At 42.2% G+C, this 17,521-nt stretch overlaps 2 protein-coding genes and 1 pseudogene across 14 annotated transcripts in view, besides 3 other annotated features; 2 read left to right on the forward strand and 1 right to left on the reverse strand.

Annotated features, from left to right (window-relative positions):
- The window catches only part of PRKRA (protein activator of interferon induced protein kinase EIF2AK2), a 19,762-nt gene extending 14,509 nt beyond the window's left edge, over window positions 1-5,253 (reverse strand). For 3 of the 6 annotated variants that reach the window (NM_003690.5, NM_001316362.2, XM_047446138.1), the window contains exons 1-3: window positions 5,044-5,253; window positions 4,320-4,489; window positions 1,583-1,664 (exon numbers count right to left, since the gene is read on the reverse strand). In NM_003690.5, the coding sequence (NP_003681.1) occupies window positions 1,583-1,664; window positions 4,320-4,489; window positions 5,044-5,108 (317 nt within the window). In that variant the 5' untranslated portion in view covers window positions 5,109-5,253. Of the gene's footprint in view, window positions 1-1,533; window positions 1,665-4,319; window positions 4,836-5,043 lie in introns of those variants that run through there. The other 3 variants (NM_001139518.1, NM_001139517.1, XM_011512063.3) reach the window with 3 other exon arrangements.
- Window positions 4,409-4,983: an enhancer, noted in NCBI's record as "H3K27ac hESC enhancer chr2:179315058-179315632 (GRCh37/hg19 assembly coordinates)". NCBI's record gives its function as "activates a minimal SCP1, AML or CMV promoter by ChIP-STARR-seq in primed H9 embryonic stem cells {active_cell/tissue: H9 hESC(primed)}" and the evidence as "EXISTENCE:reporter gene assay evidence [ECO:0000049][PMID:30033119]".
- Window positions 4,409-5,525: a biological region, named in NCBI's record as "H3K27ac hESC enhancer GRCh37_chr2:179315058-179315632".
- Window positions 4,746-5,525: a silencer, noted in NCBI's record as "silent region_12149". NCBI's record gives its function as "represses an Ori minimal core promoter by ATAC-STARR-seq in GM12878 lymphoblastoid cells {active_cell/tissue: GM12878}" and the evidence as "EXISTENCE:reporter gene assay evidence [ECO:0000049][PMID:35858748]".
- On the forward strand, window positions 5,456-16,180 carry PJVK (pejvakin). 8 transcript variants are annotated; one of them, NM_001042702.5, is made up of 7 exons: window positions 5,456-5,847; window positions 7,466-7,698; window positions 8,410-8,605; window positions 10,088-10,229; window positions 12,588-12,705; window positions 14,426-14,524; window positions 15,060-16,180. In NM_001042702.5, exons 2-7 carry the CDS (start codon window positions 7,488-7,490, stop codon window positions 15,350-15,352), a joined length of 1,059 nt encoding a protein of 352 aa, NP_001036167.1. In that variant the 5' UTR covers window positions 5,456-5,847; window positions 7,466-7,487; the 3' UTR covers window positions 15,353-16,180. The 8 variants fall into 8 exon arrangements, 7 of the variants coding, with proteins under 7 accessions (NP_001036167.1, NP_001340706.1, NP_001340704.1 ...); NM_001353777.1 differs by having other exon boundaries at window positions 5,514-5,847; window positions 7,631-7,698; window positions 15,060-15,644; NM_001353775.2 differs by having other exon boundaries at window positions 5,681-5,948; window positions 7,509-7,698.
- NUDCP2 (nuclear distribution C pseudogene 2) lies at window positions 8,794-9,721 on the forward strand (annotated as a pseudogene).

Consider the following 17,521-nt stretch of genomic DNA (forward strand, 5'->3'; position numbering starts at 1 on the left):
GGTTTCACCATGTTGGCCAGGCTGGTCTCGAACTCCTGACTCAAGTGATCTGCCCACCTTGGCCTCCCAAAGTGCTGGGATTACAGGTGTGAGCCACCATGCCTGGCCTTGTTTTTCTTTGAGGCAGGGTTTCACAGGCTGGAGTGCAGGGGCACAATCTTAGCTTACTGCAATCTCCGCCTCCCGGGTTCAAGCGATTTTTGTGCCTCAGCCACCCAAGTAGCTGGGATTACAGGCGCCTGCCACCATGCCTGGCTAATTTTTGTATTTTTAGTAGAGACAGGGTTTTGCCATGTTGGCCAGGCTGGTCTTGAACTCCTGGCCTCAAGTGATCCACCCACCTCAGCCTCCCAAAGTGCTGGGATTACAGGCGTGAGCCACCCCGCCCAGCCTGGCATAGATCAATTATAATGCATGACCCTAGAGAATCAAGCATCATCTTGTGAAATGCAAGGCTTGTCTTGGGCAGCTGCTTATCTAGAGGGTTGCCATGTCACTGGTTAGTTCTAAACTACCCAAACGGTTTAGAATGATTTACAAAAAGAGAGGAATACTACATGAGAACCTAACTACACCCCTAATCCAAAAGCCTTTCTATGACTAGGGAACAAAAAACCCATCCCAAATTCCCTGGGTCTCTACTGTCAACTATAAGCTGATTACACAGATCGTACTTCAGGCATATGTAAGTGTATGCACAAGAAGAACTTGAAAGCATGCCAAGCTCCAGAGTGCACCCAGTGGACACTACTTTAATATGTGAGATGCTCCAGGACCAATATTCTATCTAGAAACACCTAAAGTAGTAAAAAATCTATCCCAGCACTTTGGGAGGCCGAGGCTGGCGGATCACGAGGTCAGGAGATCGAGACCATCCCGGCTAAAACGGTGAAACCCCGTCTCTACTAAAAATACAAAAAATTAGCTGGGCGTAGTGGCGGGCGCCTGTAGTCCCAGCTACTTGGGAGGCTGAGGCAGGAGAATGGCGTGAACCCGGGAGGCGGAGCTTGCAGTGAGCCGAGATCCCGCCACTGCACTCCAGACTGGGCGACAGAGCGAGACTCCGTCTCAAAAAAAAAAAAAAAAAAAAAAAAATCTTACTTTAGAAAGATATGTCAAGAATTAATATCCCACTTAACATTCTCTTCTTTTGGTATACATTATATAATAAAAGAAAACCTCTGCCTGCTTCTTCAAAATTAGAATTCCCAAAAGAGTACTTTTAGTGGATCTTTCTCCATCTCACACTTTGTTTTCTTCAATGTAGAAATAATCAAAGTCTAAATACAAAATGTTAATATTAATATTTGCAAGAAGCACTGATTTTCTACTGTTGTATCCCATTAAAAAAAAAAAAACAGTAAAGCCTAGTTCATGAGCACCTTCATTTAATAGCTAATTGCTGGATTTGATTGGATAAAGTTTTCTTTAATGGATGATAAGTTTTCATAAGGAAATAGAATTTGAGAGGTAGGATGCTAACAACTGTTCACTTTGTTGCTTTTGTAAGCATGTTCAAATTTTTAATCTTACCTCAGCCATGATATTTTTGAGCTGCTGAATACAAAGAAATTTAGCTCACCAAATACTTGCATTGGCTTTCAAAATGTTTATGGCAGCCTCTGCAGCTCTATGTTTCGCCAGCTTCTTACTTGTACCTTCACCTGAATTAAGATTTAAAAAAAGAAGTCTTTATCTCCCACAAAAATGTGCAGCTTACAAAGATGTTTTCAATACACAAAACAAAGTCACTATAGATTTTACATACACATACTAGGTAATAAAAATATGTACGTTATATACTGTACATAAAAATATGTACATGTTATATACTACATGGTTATATACTGTAATAAAATATTCACCATGTGAAAAAATTTTAAAAAATAACTTTTTAAAGTTCTATATAATTCTATGCATACCTGCATAAAAATCCTTATTTCTACATTATATATGTTTATTATATAACATGGTAATAAAGTAGACCGTGTCACACCTCTGAAGAAATGCAGATTAGTATTTTACTCTTCCTTTATTCCTGGAGGGGAAATTCTTCTGCAGCAAGAAGTTTCTTTTAAAGGAACCATTTACAGCAGAATTGTTTGATAGCAAAATGTGCATAATTTTATTCTGACAGCCTGTCCTATAACGTATCAAACTGCTTTGCTAGGCTGAGCAGTCATGATTATGTGTTGGGTACAACAGGAAAGAGTTTTATGGAATAAGGTGACAGCTTGTTATGTATCTTCTGGACGGTCTGTATCTTCTGCATGGGTAGCTAAGTTGGGACTGGGGATAAGACTGATGTCTAATTTCAGTAAGCAATCACAATGGCAAATGATAAATTCCATCTTTTTCCTTTTAAGTTCAAACTCCCATACCCTCATGGAATAAGTTTCAAGTGTGGCCTTCAAGTGTGGCCCTCAAGTGTAAGAAGACACAGAAACCATATATTTATCTGCTAACACAGGTATTAGGGATATAGCATACAGGGTCCCTGCCCTCAAGAGCCAACAGAGTAGTGTGGGATTTTTGTCTGTTAATAGGCACCTGAAGTATGGAATGGGATATGTTACAACAAGCCTAAGTGCAGGCTGTAGCGGAGGTTGCAGTGAGCCAAGATCATGCCACTGCACTCTAGCCTGGGTGACAGAGTGAGACCCTGTCTCAAAAAAAAAAGAATGAACACTGGTTGTAATGTGACAAAAGGACATCACAAGACTAGAAGGTAAACGTGTAGCTACAAGACTGCAGCTACAATCCAAGTGAGAGATGATGGTGGCCTAGGCAGTAGCAATGGCCAGAAGAGAGAAGCCGACAGATTCAATGGATAGTTAGTGGATTATTAAACGCCAATGGATAGAGTTTAATAACAGACTGGACAAGAGGGAGAAAGACGGGAAGTAGTTAGGAAGACAAAAGCCTACATTTCTACTGAACTAGGTGATTGTGGAGCCTTTACATAGAAAGGGAATGCAAGAAGAATGGGTTTGAGGGAAAAGATGGATTCAGTTTGGGACAATGAGAGGCTTGAGGGGCCTCTGTGTCATCCAGGCAAAGATGCTCAGCAAGCACAGACTGATACACTATTCTGTAACTGGGCTTGGGATGTAGACAGACATTTCAGAATATTAGTCTTTAGACAGTATCAGAAGCCATGGAGGCAGATAAGCTTGCACAGGAAGCCATGGTAGTGTGAGAAGAGGGCGTAGGCAGAACGGTTGCCATAGGTTGTTAATTTGGGGTCTAAAACACATTGAGAGGGAAAAACCCTCCCTTTTCTTGAATTCTTCCTATCTAGAAATAGACTAGCTAAAGTAAGTAATGCAGTGTTGACTCTATGGTTCCCATGGGGACCCTTCCGGCCAGCACCTACAATCTAACTGCCTCACACAAAAAGTTTTAAACTTTTCTTAAAGTGGCATCAATTAAAATAAAAGACTCCAAACTTCCAGGGACACAAACAAATGCTGTCTTCAGATTTTCCAGATGGTAGAACTTGAGCCTTCCTACTAAATTTTTTTCTTGGCATTCTTCCAAATTAAATTTAGCATCCAATGTTTTCTGTGTTTGCAATTAAATAGATACATAAGAAAAATAATGTCCACATTTACAAATGAGCAACTTTAGTTATCATTTGCTCAAGCTCACAGACCAAAAGAAAGCATGAACTTTAAAATTTCATTGCTTTGTGACTTCATTGCTATACGCATGTTACTTATAATCTCTCTGAACCTGTTTCTTCTTGTTTAAAAAGTGGATAATATACAAAATATCTGTTCAGTTTCAAAAACTAGAAGTTATTATGTAATATATGAGGACCTTCTCCCCTTCCTCATTTTGTTTGGATACAGAATCAAAAGTAGCACAATGGACCTAAAGTGCCAAATGAGTCCATACAGAGAGGAGAGACGCTCAGAAAATTCTGGGGTCATGCCTCCTGGCATCCGCTATAATCTATGAAACTTCACAGTACCTACTGACCCAGCTATGACTGCTCCAAGAACCTTTCCTGCTTCCCTCTAATTCTAAGAAGAACCCTAGGAGGATCCTAGGGTATGAGAAGAGCCATGCAGGATCCAGCCATCCGGCTGGGTAACTTTTTAGTTTCTAAGCTTCCTTGGTATGTGGGGAAGAGAAAATTAGGAAGAGAATCAGATGCAGCTGAAAAGCCCTAACGACCTGAGATGAGAGGTCTCAGTTTCAGAGCCTGTTCCTCACAGCTGTCTGGCAAAAAGAGAACTTTTCCGAACTGAAAAGCAACACCAAGTATTGACTGCCAACCCACTCGGTCATCCAGGTTAACTGTGTATACAGACCTGTGCAGGTTATGTCACCAACGGTTACTCTGAAGGTGAAAGTGGGCACGTGTATTTGCACATCAGATCTTTCACATTCATAAACTGGGATGTTCTTGGTCTTCATGCCGTATTCGTGTAATACCTGAATCGGTGTTTTCCCTGGCTTAGCTGTTATCATCTTCCCCAAACTGCAAAAACCACAAAAAGGTGTGCTTTGCATGCCAAATTGGAGATTGAAGCAGAAGCGTAGAGGCCAGTTTTAACCGCCACCGACGGTGACGAGGGAGGCGCCGAGTTCCCCGGAGGCCAGGGCCAGAGCTGGCGAGGCTGGGGCGCACCTGTCTTCCGGCCCCGCTGCGGCAGTCACTCCGCAGGAGCAGGCGGGGTGAGCGAGGTCTTTAGAGAGAGCACTTGAATGCGGGTAGGAGAGATTCTCAACAGAACAGGGCTGGCAGCAGCGCCGCAGCCTCTCAGGGAAAACCTGACGATCCCTTCCCGGGCGCGCCGACCGAGCGTCACCTCCGCCCGCCCCGCGCGCCGCCAGGGACCACGAGAGGGGCGGGGCCCGGCCGCAGACCCCAACCCTCGCCGCCGAGAGGGCGGGGCCGAGCACCCACAGCCGCGGAGGCGTGGGCGCCGGGCACGGCTTTACCCAGAATGCCTCTGGAGGGCCGGCTCCCCGCGCCCCGGCCCTGCCGCCCAACGCTCCCGGCCCTGGGGCCCTGACTGCCCGCACGCTGACCTGAAGGTCCCACTGTCCTCGCGCTCCAGCGGCGGGGCCTCGGCGCGGTGCCTGCTCTGGGACATGGCGAGAAGGGACGGCTCAGCGGCTGGAGGAAGAGCGGTGCGGAGCGACGTGCTCGCTCCCCGGGTCGCTGGTCCCCGGGAGGAGCTCCAGCGCCGCCACCTCCTCCGACTCCCCCGCCTCCTGCTTGCGTTGCTCCAGCGAGGGGGCAGGCAGGGTGGGGGCGGAGCCTTGGTGCCGTAGCTCCGGCTACGCCCCCTCGCTGCTCCTCTGCGGGCCTCCGTCCCGGCCCAACTCCGCCCCTGTCCCTTCCAGGGTCCGCCCCCTTCCCGCCCGGCTCCGCCCCGCTCCCGCGTGGGCACAGGCATTGGGCTCCCGGGGGTTCTCCGCGCCCGCCCCTGCCGGCCCTGACCAGCCTGTAGTAACTGGCCCCTAGGCCGCAGTTCTTTGTCCTTAGCAGGAGGCCGTTTCTTGCCGGGAGAGAGGGATTAGAGGGATTGTCCGGCGTGGGTCTAGGGTCGTTGAGGCCTAAAGTTAAGCCTTTGTGGGGAGGACGGATTGGGGGCTGGGTCACTTTAAGAAAAAGATTCTAAAATTACGAAGGCAGAATTCCAGGGAGTCTCCCGGGCCTGGTCCTGAAGCTTGAGACCCCGGATATATACGCTCCAGGGGGCTGCGGTGCGCTCTTCGGGTCCCCGAGCCCTGTGTTTAGGAACACGCGGGGACGTCCAAACACCCGCTCCTCTCCCGCCGGGCGGGCTCCTTTGTCTTCTGGGCTTTCGTCGCGAGATGGAACGCTGGGTCAGTGCATCCCAGCAAAACACGTTAGGAGTAAACGAAGGCCTTTCCGGGGACCTGGGTAGTCGGTTGTAATGGCGTTTGCCTGGGATGCAGCACCTTTGGTGGGCCATTAGATGACGTGTCGCTTCTCCAGGGGCTTGCTAGGCACTAGCAGAAATGCTCCCCTGTGCTTACTCGGTGTTATGGAAGATTGCTTGCACAATGCTATTCGTACGAAAGGATATTATTAAAAGTGATTTATGGGCGGGCGCGGTGGCTCACGCCTGTAATCCCAGCACTTTAGGAGGCCGAGGCTGGCGGATCGCCTGAAGTAAGCAGTTCGAGACCAGCCTGGCCAACATGGTGAAACCCTGTCTCTACTAAAAATACAAAAATTAGCCGGGCGTGGTGGCATGCGCCTGTAATCCCAGCTACTCGGGAGGCTAAAGCAGGAGAATCGCTTGAACCCGGGAGGCAAATGTTGCAGTGAGCCGAGATCGCGCCACTGCACTCCAGCCTGGGCGACAGAGTCAGACTCCCTCTCAAAAAAAAAAAAAAAAAAAAAAGCGATTTGTTGTTTTGTTAGCATGTAAGCCCTGGATGCTTGAAACAAGTGAAAGATGTTCAGAATCTAATCAAATTATATCATCTGATGCTTTAATTAGAGCCTATTCTCTCTTCCTCTCCGTCTATATATGTATGTATATAGATTACTATCCATCACTGTTTTAATGGATATCTTATTGGAAGGGCTACATAGTCAGTATTTCACAATATATGAACTCCGCATAACACCTATGGCAAAACATTTCAGCACTCAGGTAAAATTCATTTTTTGCCACAAAATTACTTAAAAACAGGCCAGAACTTTATATAGCTCTTGTTAAAGGTTAAGTAGCTGGGATAATAATGAAACAAAAAGATGCAGCAGGACTCCATTTCAAAGAGAGAGAGTCTGTGTGCCCAACTTCAGAGTAAGAAACCACTAGGTAATAGTTTATATAGTTACTTATATGTAATGTGGCTTTATTTTTTAAATAAAGATTTGCATATAATTGTTTATATCTGTGAATTTATATTTAATATTAAACACAGTTTTGTAAGCATATAAGATGGAAAATGAATGAAATGCTCAATCAATGAGCTGTATGCCATGAGGATTCAAAACAGCACTTTGGTGTTGCCAAAATTCCGGTGGTGGACTTGTGAAGGAATTCCCTTTGGACTAGGTCCACTGTAGATTGTATCCGGGACTATCGTTAGTGCCTAAATTGCATTGCTTCCCACAGCACTATATGCTTCCCTTAAAATTGGCCCATTGCCAGTGGCAAATCACTATCTACTGTGATCCTTATCATAGACATTGGTCATATTTTTACGTTATTAGTTTTCTGTGTATATTTTAGTGCTATAGCCTGCCATTCCAAGTTAAACATGCTCTTAGCATATCATTTTACACCGTTGATCTATAATTCATTACCTGAGCACATGAGCAGAGGCAGGGAATTATACAGTGGTAAACTACTTGGTGAAACCATGCTTTGTATTTTTAAGATGTATAATTATATTTAAAAACAAGCAATGCTTAATTTTGTGCCTGATTTTCCTCTTTAAAAATGGATTTATCTGGGGGTTGCAGTTGATGACGTTTTGATTTTAATATGTTTGCTGCTGCTACCAAGAGCTTTGTCAAGCAAGTTGGAGATGGAGGGAGATTAGTTCCTGTTCCAAGCCTCAGTGAAGCTGACAAATATCAACCTCTAAGTCTGGTGGTAAAAAAGAAGCGATGCTTTCTGTTTCCTAGATATAAATTTACTTCAACACCTTTTACACTGAAAGATATTCTCCTAGGAGACAGAGAAATTTCAGCTGGTAAGTTTAAATGTTTGGGAGTGCCAACTCATTCATCTGTATTATTGGCAACCTAAACATAGGTCATATATGCTACTTATGTTAGTAATACACATTTTCAATGATTAAAGCAACTTTTATTATGATGTTAGTGTAATAACATTATTAAGATTAACAATGCCAAAAGTTTGTATAATATCAAATCTCTTATTGGTCAAATAATTTTCAAATCTATCAATTATTTTATAAATTGTTTTAACCAAATCAACTTAGAATATGACATATTTCTTCATCTATAAAATGGGATATTATTTGGGCTTACCTATGTTACATGGTCAAATGAGATGAAAATAATTTGTATTTATTTTTTACAATTCAATTATTACAATTGGTAAACTGAAATGTATTGAAGGGTAGGTTATATAATAAGCTGATATTTTGATGAGTTACTACTTATAAACGCTTATTTTTTCTTTTAATTGCCCGGTGGATCTTGATGCTTAAGAAGTTCTGTTGGCTGAATAGAAAATTTGAGTTCCTTTTAAGAATTCTGGCTATGTGTTTCTTTTTGTTGTAAGATTAATTGAATTACTACTTTAAGTCTTGGTGAGTCATGTTGCCTTTCTCTAACATTTGGGTATTTGAGTCTTCAATTGTTAATTTAACATGTTACTATATATAATCTACATAAGATAAAGATGTTTAAAAAATACTGAGTTTCTTCTTATAAAGGTATTTCATCTTATCAATTACTGAATTATGAAGATGAATCAGATGTTTCACTCTATGGAAGGCGAGGTAACCATATTGTAAATGACGTTGGGATTAACGTTGCTGGATCAGATTCCATTGCAGTGAAAGCTTCATTTGGTATAGTAACCAAACATGAAGTGGAAGTATCAACATTACTCAAAGAAATTACTACACGGTCAGTATAATAATCCTAATATATTTCAGTGTTTTCATTAAATACTTTAGGTATATAAACTTCATTACAAAGAATGCTTAAAACATTGAGGTTGTATTTTACTAGTGTAATTTGCTAGATATGTTTGAAATACATTGGTAGTATATCCAAACTTTGAATAAGGATAGATATCAAAAATCACTTGGCTGAAGTCAGAGACCTCAGGGCCCCAGATCAAGGAGCTAACTGATGAAGAGGCAGAGAGGCTGCAGCTAGAGATTGACCAGAAATAGGATGCAGAGAATCATGAGGCCCAGATCAAGAATGGCAGCCTTGACTCCCCAGGGAAGCAGAAGACTGAGGAAGATGAGGAGGAGGAAGATGAGAAGGACAAAGGAAAACTGAAGCCCAACCTAGGCAACAGGGCAGACCTGCCTGATTACCGCTGGACCAAGACCCTGTCGGAGCTGGACCTGGCGGTCCCTTTCTGTGTGGACTTCCAGCTGAAAGGGAAGGACGTGGTGGTGGCATCCAACGGCGGCACCTCCAGGTGGGGCTCAAGGGGCAGCCAGCGATCATCGATGGGGAGCTCTACAACGAAGTGAAGGCGGAGGAGAGCTCGTGGCTCATTGAGGACGGCAAGGTGGTGACTGTGCATCTGGAGAAGATCAAGAAGATGGAGTGGTGGAGCCGCTTGGTGTCCAGTGACCCTGAGATCAATACCAAGAAGATTAACCCTGAGAATTCCAAGCTGTCAGACCTGGACAGTGAGACTCACATCATGGTGGAAAAGACAATCTATGACCAGTAACAGAAGTCCATGGGGCTGCCAACCTCAGACGAACAGAAGAAACAGGAGATTCTGAAGAAGTTCATGGATCAGCATCCGGAGATGGATTTTTCCAAGGCTAAATTCAACTAGCCCCTGTTTTTCCCTCCCTGAACTCTTGGGGCTGAGCTGCAACCACCCAACTTTCTTTCCCACTCTTCTCTGGGACTTGTGGGCCTCAGGGCTTGGGGCAGGCATGGGACTGGCCCAGGCACACAGGTCCCAGGGCATCAGGAGAAAGGCTGGGGCTTGGGGTCTTGTCCTCCCCAGTTGGCCTACTGTTACACATTAAAATGATTTGCCCAGCTAAAAAAAAAAAAAAACCACTTGGCTTAAACAAAACTTTTAATTGTTCCACAAAATTACTTTGGCTCTACACACATTTGCTTAATTATTAGATTTAAATAATACAGCAATCTGTCTGCAACAAATAGAGTCCCCTTCAACAGACTTTCAACAGACAGAGTGAAACATTCTGCATAAGCATGTTTTAAGAAAATAGAGAGGAGAGACAAATTATTACATTTCTTTTGGGTGTATTTTCTGACTATTAGGATTGCCTTGATTTACTATTAGGTGAACTATGAATGAATAACACATGATAGCAAAAAATGTATTTGATTATGTGTAATTAGATGTTATAGAGTCTTGTGAATGTATCTTCTTTATTTTAGAAAAATTAACTTTGACCACAGCTTGATACGTCAGTCAAGGAGCAGCAGAAAGGCAGTATTGTGTGTGGTCATGGAGAGCATCCGAACCACACGACAGTGCTCACTGTCTGTGCATGCTGGAATTCGAGGGGAAGCAATGCGGGTAAACCACACTTGTTGGGTTCTCTTACTAACTAAAGTGTTGCCATGGGAATTTTTTTAAGTATTGAATTTCTAGTCAGGCTTGTGTATTTTGTGAAATGTTCTGATGAAAGAGCTGCAGTTGTATAGGATTTTGCACAGCAATGTCTGTTCTAGAATATGAAAAAAAAAAACAAATCTTGGGATTCTAAACATGTGTAATATAATGCAAAAACAGTAATCCTTGTGAAATTACGTGCATACTGGAGTCCCTCAAGTTACTATTTAAGTGTTGTTTTAAGAATAAAAATTGAGTGAGTTGAATTGATTTTATTTTTAAGTGATACAGTTTTTGACTGGGCACAGTGGCTCACGCCTGTAATCCTAGCATTTTGGGAGGCCGAGGTGGGCGGATCACTTGCAGTCAGGAGTTGGAGATCAAGTTGGGCAACACAGAGAAACCCCATCTCTACTGAAAATACAAAAATTAGCCAGGTGTGGTGGTACACCCCTGTAATCCCAAGCCACTCAGGAAGCTGAGGCACAAGAATCACTTGAACCTGGGAGGTGGAGGTTGCAGTGAGCCGAGATTGTGCCATTGCACTCTAACCTGGGTGGCAGAGTGAGACTCCGTCTCAAAAAAACAAAACAAAACAAAAACCCCAACCAAAAAAAAAATGTGTAACATAATGCAAAAACAGTAATCCTTGTGAAATTACATGCATACTGGAGTCCCTCATATTACTATTTAAGTGCTGTTTTAAGAATAAAAATTGAGTGCTTAAGTTGAATTGATTTAAGTGATAGAGTTTTTACACTTTGAATTTTTTAAAGCTGAATTTATAGATTTTTTTTTTGAGACGGAGTCTCGCTCTGTCCCCGAGGCTGGAGTGCAGTGGCGCGATCTTGGCTCACTGCAAACTCCGCCTCCCGGGTTCATGCCATTCTTCTGCCTCAGCCTCCCGAGTAGCTGGGACTACAGGCACCTGCCACCACGCCCGGCAGTGTTATCCAGGATGGTTTCGATCTCCTGACCTCGTGATCCGCTAGCCTCGGCCTCCCAAAATGCTGGGATTACAGGTGTGAGCCACCGCGCCTGGCCTGAATTTATATTTTTATATTCAAATAGTTTTTCAAAGTTAATATTATCAATGGCCATACATGCTTTATTCAAGGTTAGTTAAATCCTTTAAAAAATATTAGCGGCAAGGTGCAGTGGATCATGCCTGTAATCCCAGTGCTTAGGAAGACTGAGATAGGAAGACAGCTTGGGACCAGGAGTTCAAGACCAACTTGAGCAAAATAATGAGACCTTGTCTCTACAAAAAATAAAAGAATTAGCTGGTTGTGGTGGCACATGCCTATAGTCCCAGCTACTCGGAAGGCTGAGGCAGGGGGCTGCCTGCGGGGTTTGGGTCATTGTCTTTTAGAATTTGGGAGGCTTTGAAAAGCCGTGCTTTTGTGCTGGGGAAGATGTAGCAGTCTCTTCTCCAAACCACCCATTTGCCTTCGGACTTCTCTGGGGCCAGCAGCCATCCAACTAGGGGCCCGGGGCCACGGGCTCAGCTGACGACCATGGGCTTCGCGTCCAACCAGCAGTTTGCAGGTTCGAGCTCAGGACTTGGCGGGGACACCTTAGGATGCAGGAGTGGCCAGGAGTTCAAGGTTACAGTAGGCTATGATTGTGCCACTGCTCTCCAGCCTGGGTGACAGAGAGAGACCCTGTCTCTGAAAAAAAAATTGGAAAAGTATCTGTGTTTAATTTTCAGCTCAATTATGATATTGTTTATCTTTGTCATTCAGTGACACCTAATAATGACTTGATTGGATTAAAACCAATTGTTAGAAAGATAGGGTTCAAGGATAATCTTTTCAAGTCTTTGCAAATAAAAGTTATTTTCGCATATTCAGCTGCCTGTCAAATTCTGATTAACATTGGATCATTTTTGAGGCACAAACTGAAACATTTACTTGATTGTTAGCGATTGCTTTAGAAAGCTACTAAAAGCTCTGGAGGGCTTTGGAATGGTAGACAGGCTAGGCTGAAAACTTTAACTCTGGCACTGCTTTCTAAGATTTCCTGTTAAAAAAAAAAAAAAGGCTTCTGCTCCAGAGCATTATGGTTGTGGTAGCACTAATCATGGGCTGTAATACCAAAGTAAGTGAAAAGTGCAGAGGTATTTCCTAATATAGACCAGGAGTTTCTGTTGGACCAATTGGATCTCTGCTATAAAAAATGGTTTAATTCAAGCAGAATAATCCTTTACTTGGGAATTTTTTGTTTTGTTTTTGGTAGGATTATAGGAAATGTTTCATTTCTCCAAAAAGCTATCCTTACATGTTATGATCCTTAATTATGTTATTTATTTATTCAATATAGTTTCACTTTATGGATGAACAGAATCCCAAGGGAAGGGACAAAGCTATTGTTTTCCCAGCACATACAACCATAGCTTTCAGTGTTTTTGAACTCTTCATATACCTGGATGGTGCCTTTGGTGAGTTAAGGGTCTGCATGAAATACAAATGATTATATTTTTAAGGAGCATTCATTAGGGCATGTGCTCTCTCTCTCTCTTTTCTCTCATTTCTCGTGTCTAACAATTATAGAAGATGCTCTCAGCACTGTCAATCTTATGCTTTGGCAAAATAGCTGAGAAAGACCCTCCGTTCGCTGCTTCCCCATTCCACTTTTCTGCTTCTTGGTGAAGGTTGTAAACTCTCCACTACCCCATTTAAAATTATAAATAAGAGCTAAAATGCCATCTACTGACAAAGTATTCCTTAGCTTACATGGGGAGATAATAAATGACCTTCTTATAGGTAGTTTTTGATGGTGGCAAACAGAGGAGTAGGTAGATAGTAGGATGCCTGAAGTGTTAGGATGCCCAAACCAGGGCCTCTAAAGACAGCTTTTCTTACTTCAGTTTTACTTATCATAGACCCAGCTTCCCCTTGCACTCTTCCTAAAAAATAACTTTAAAAAGTGAAAATACTTCCTCCAAAATTGTCACCTTGTATAATACCTAAGTGCAGCTCACTTTAGGTCTCTACATTTCACAGGTCTTTAAGGTCTGTTGGCCAACTGGAACAAGTCCAGGTGTAGCCCAAGGGATCAGGAAAGGCAGCCCCTAGCCATGGTAATTTACAAATGTTTTTAGACCTGTTCTTGTTCATTTCTGCAATTTTGTAGGAGGAGGGAATAGGGAGTCCAGAAACAAAACAAAACTACATGTTAAGTAAATTGTCTTTTTAAAAAATATTTTTAATTTTTGTGGCTATATAGTAGATTATATATATATTTATGTATGGGATACATGAGGTATTTTGATACGGGCATACAGTGCATAATAATCACATCATGGAAAATGGGGTATCCATCCCCTCAAGCATTTATCCTTTGTGTTACAAACAATCCAATTATACTCTTTTAGTTATTTAAAAATGTACAAATTCTCAGTCTAAGATGGAGAAAAAACTGTACAATTACATTATTTTGACTGTAGTCACCCTATTATGCTTCCAAATACTAGGTCTTATTAAGTAAATTCTAATTGGATAACTTTAGGTTTTTACAGTTTTATTGATGGTTGGGAGGAATGTAAATGGACTGATATATCCACAAGAATTTAAAATATATATATAATTTGGACTTCCACTTCTAGGAATTTATCCTACAGATATATTTACACATATATGAAATGATATGAGTGCAAGTATATTCAGTCCTCAATAACAAGAGATTGGAAACAACATTAAGGAGACTAAATAATGGTGCATCCTTGCAAGAGAATACTATGAAGCCAATAAGAATATAATACTTTTAATAGATATTTTTCAAGAGCTGAGTATAATATGTAACTATTTGGGCATAAATAATTTTATACACATACATGTATATATGCATCTTTCTTTATGCTTATAAAATATATGGAGTATTTCTGGAAGCAAACATAAGAAACTTAAACCACGGGTGCCCCTAAGCCCCTGAGGTAGAAGACTGTGGCTGGATACAGGGTGGGCCAGAGACCTATTTGTCACTGTATCTCCTTTCTGTATGAATTTTGTACCATGTGAATGTTACCTTTTCCAAAAGTATGTAAAAGTCAACTTTTAAAAACAATACAATGAATGATTTGTACTAGAATTCATCACCCCATCAAACAATAAAATATGAATTATTCAAGTTATAACATCTTCTAACAATTTTTTTTGTAGACCTTTGTGTCACTTCAGTGTCAAAAGGAGGATTTGAAAGGGAAGAAACGGCAACATTTGCACTGCTGTACAGGTTGAGAAATATCCTATTTGAAAGAAGTATGTTTATTGAAGAGTACTGTGAATGTCTTTTTTTTTTCTTTCCTGGCTTAACACATGAGGTTTTCTATTCAGTAATCTCATCTGTTAAGGAAAAATTTAAATTTAAAAGCCTGGCTGGTATGGTGGCTCATGCCTATAATCCCAGCACTTTGGGAGGCCAGGGCAGGCAGATTGCTAGCACTCAGAAGTTTGAAACACTTGGGCAATGTGAGAAAACCCCATCTGTACAAAGAATACAAAAGAAAAAAAATTAGTTGGTTGCAGTGGTGTGCACCTGTAGTCCCAGCTACTTGAGAGGCTGAGGTAGGAGGATCACTTGAGCGTGGGAGGCGGAGGTTGTAGTAAGTGGAGATTGTGCCACTGCCCTCCAGCTTGGGTGACAGAGCCAGACCCTGTCTCAAAAAAAAAAAAAAAAAAAAAAAAGCCAAATTATTTCATGACTAGTGGATTCACATATTTATTAATGCTGTTTGCATTATGTATTTTTCATTTTCACTTCTAACACATTTCTTTTCTGTTTTTGTCCTTTTAGATAGAAGAGTGATGGATGTCATTTCTCGTTCACAGCTTTACTTGGATGATCTTTTTTCTGACTACTATGACAAACCTCTCAGCATGACTGATATTTCACTCAAAGAAGGGACCCATATCCGAGTTAACTTACTTAATCACAACATTCCCAAAGGGCCTTGCATACTCTGTGGAATGGGGAACTTCAAAAGGGAGACAGTTTATGGGTGCTTTCAGTGTTCTGTTGATGGTCAGAAGTATGTGAGACTTCATGCAGTTCCTTGTTTTGATATTTGGCACAAGAGGATGAAATAAAATGAAAAATGAATACACCGTGTTGGTGTTTTAGGTGCAGTTGTGCCACAAACCTTCCCTAAATTATCTAGGTTTGCTTTGATGAATTAAATTAAAATGAGAAAAGCAAAAAGAAATTAACCTGTCTGGGTATCATATTCCCTATCTATAAAGTAGCAATTATAACAGTAGTGTCTATTTCTTAAGTTGTCATGAAAATTAATAACATTGTTTATATCAAAAAAGATTTACATATAAAATTCAGAGATTATGAATCATGCCAGTCACTTTAGAATCATTTTTGGGATGTAGTCTATCATTTTAGTTCACCTTTTTTTTTTTTTTTTTTGAGACAGAGCCTTGCTCCGTCACCCAGGCTGGAGTACAGTGGCATGATCTCAGCTCACTGCAACCTCTGCCTCCTGGGTTCAAGCAATTCTCTGCCTCAGCCTCCCGAGTAGCTGGGATTACTGGCGCCTGCCACCACGCCTGGCTAATTTTTTGTATTTTTAGTAGAGACAGAGTTTTACCATCTTGGCCAGGCTGATCTTGAACTCCTGACCTTGTGATCCACTTTCCTCGGCCTCCCAAAGTGCTGGGATTACAGGCATGGGCCACCGTGCCTGGCCTAGATAACTTTTTATATAATTAAGAGATTTTTGTAAATACCAATTTTATTTTCAATCAACTTTCAGTTCAATATGTAAGGATGACAAGACTGCACAAGTAGCAACTTTTGGTGTTTCAACTATTGCCTTTGGTCTGGTAAAATGAGAAAAATGTGTTAATAATTTAATGCAATCTTAAATGTTTAATTGCAGTATCAAATTAAAAGCACACTGAACTCAACATGGGGTTTTGTGTACACAGTTAACAAGGTGACTGATAGTAGTAATGGGCTGCCATTCTATGATGTGGATATGCTCACGAGTTTTGTCTTCATAAAACGCAATACGGTCATTGTGAAGTTAAGACAGGTAAGACACATCTGTTTCTTTGAAAATGTTTAAAACATTTAACATATTCAATTCTGAAAGATCTTTTTAATCTACTCTGCTGAGAAATCTGAATTTTTCATACACAAACAACCTAAATTACTATTTACCTTTATTAAAATAATTATAAAATGAATAAAATGTTAAAATTCTAGAACTCAAGGCAACCCCCTTTGGGTCCCTCCTTGAATGGGAGCTCTGTTTTCACTTTATTTCACTGTCTTAAATCTTGCAACTGCACTCTTCTGGTCCATGTTTGTTAAGGCTCGAGCTGAGCTTTTGCTCGCCGTCCACCACTGCTGTTTGCCACCGTCACAGACCCGCTGCTGACTCCCATCCCTCTGAATCTGGCAGGGTGTCCGCTGTGCTCCTGATCCAGTGAGGCGCCCATTGCCGCTCCTGATCAGGCTAAAGGCTTGCCATTGTTCCTGCACGGCTAAGTGCCTGGGTTCGTCCTAATTGAGCTGAACACTAGTCACTGGGTTCCACGGTTCTTTTCTGTGACCCATGACTTCTAATAGAGCTGTAACACTCACTGCATGGCCCAAGATTCCATTCCTTGGAATCCGTGAGGCCAACAACCCCAGGTCAGAGAACACGGGGCTTGCCACCATCTTGGAAGTGGCCTGCCGCCATTTTGGAAGTCGCCCACCACCTTCTTGGGAGCTCTGGGAGCAAGGACCCCCGGTAACACTTTGGCGACCACGAAGGGACCTCCAAGGTGAATTGAAACTGTAAAACTACAAATGGTTCATCAAATGGAGCCCCAGATGCAGTCCATGACTAAGATCCACCGTAGACCCCCGGACCGGTCTCCCAGCCCATGCTCTGGTGTTAATGACATCGAAGGCACCCCTCCCAAGGAAATCTCAGCTGCACAACCCCTCCTATGCCCCAGTTCAGCAGGAAGCAGTTAGAGCAGTCATCGGCCAACCTCCCCAATAGCACTTGGGTTTTCCTGTTGAGAGTGGGGACTGAGAGGACTAGCTGGATTTCCTAGGCCGACTAAGAATCCCTAAGCCTAGCTGGGAAGGTAACTACATCCATCTTTAAACATGGGGCTTGCAACTTAGCTCACACCCAACCAATCAGAGAGCTCACTAAAATGCTAATTAGGCAAAAACAGGAGGTAAAGAAATAGCCAATCATCTATTGCCTGAGAGCACAGCGGGAGGGACAAGGATCAGGATATAAA

Source organism: Homo sapiens, chromosome 2 (genome assembly GCF_000001405.40).
Source record: "Homo sapiens chromosome 2, GRCh38.p14 Primary Assembly".
Taxonomy (NCBI): Eukaryota; Metazoa; Chordata; class Mammalia; order Primates; family Hominidae; genus Homo; species Homo sapiens.

Bases quoted from the DNA above. Each gene is read 5' to 3' on its own strand.
- PJVK (XM_017004221.3), top strand. From the start codon at position 6,522: ATGTATGTATATAGATTACTATCCATCACTGTTTTAATGGATATCTTA. The intron at 7,699-8,409 runs GTAAGTTTAAAT...CTTCTTATAAAG, and splicing joins AGACAGAGAAATTTCAGCTG to GTATTTCATCTTATCAATTA. The intron at 14,525-15,059 runs GTATGTTTATTG...TTGTCCTTTTAG, and splicing joins AAATATCCTATTTGAAAGAA to ATAGAAGAGTGATGGATGTC.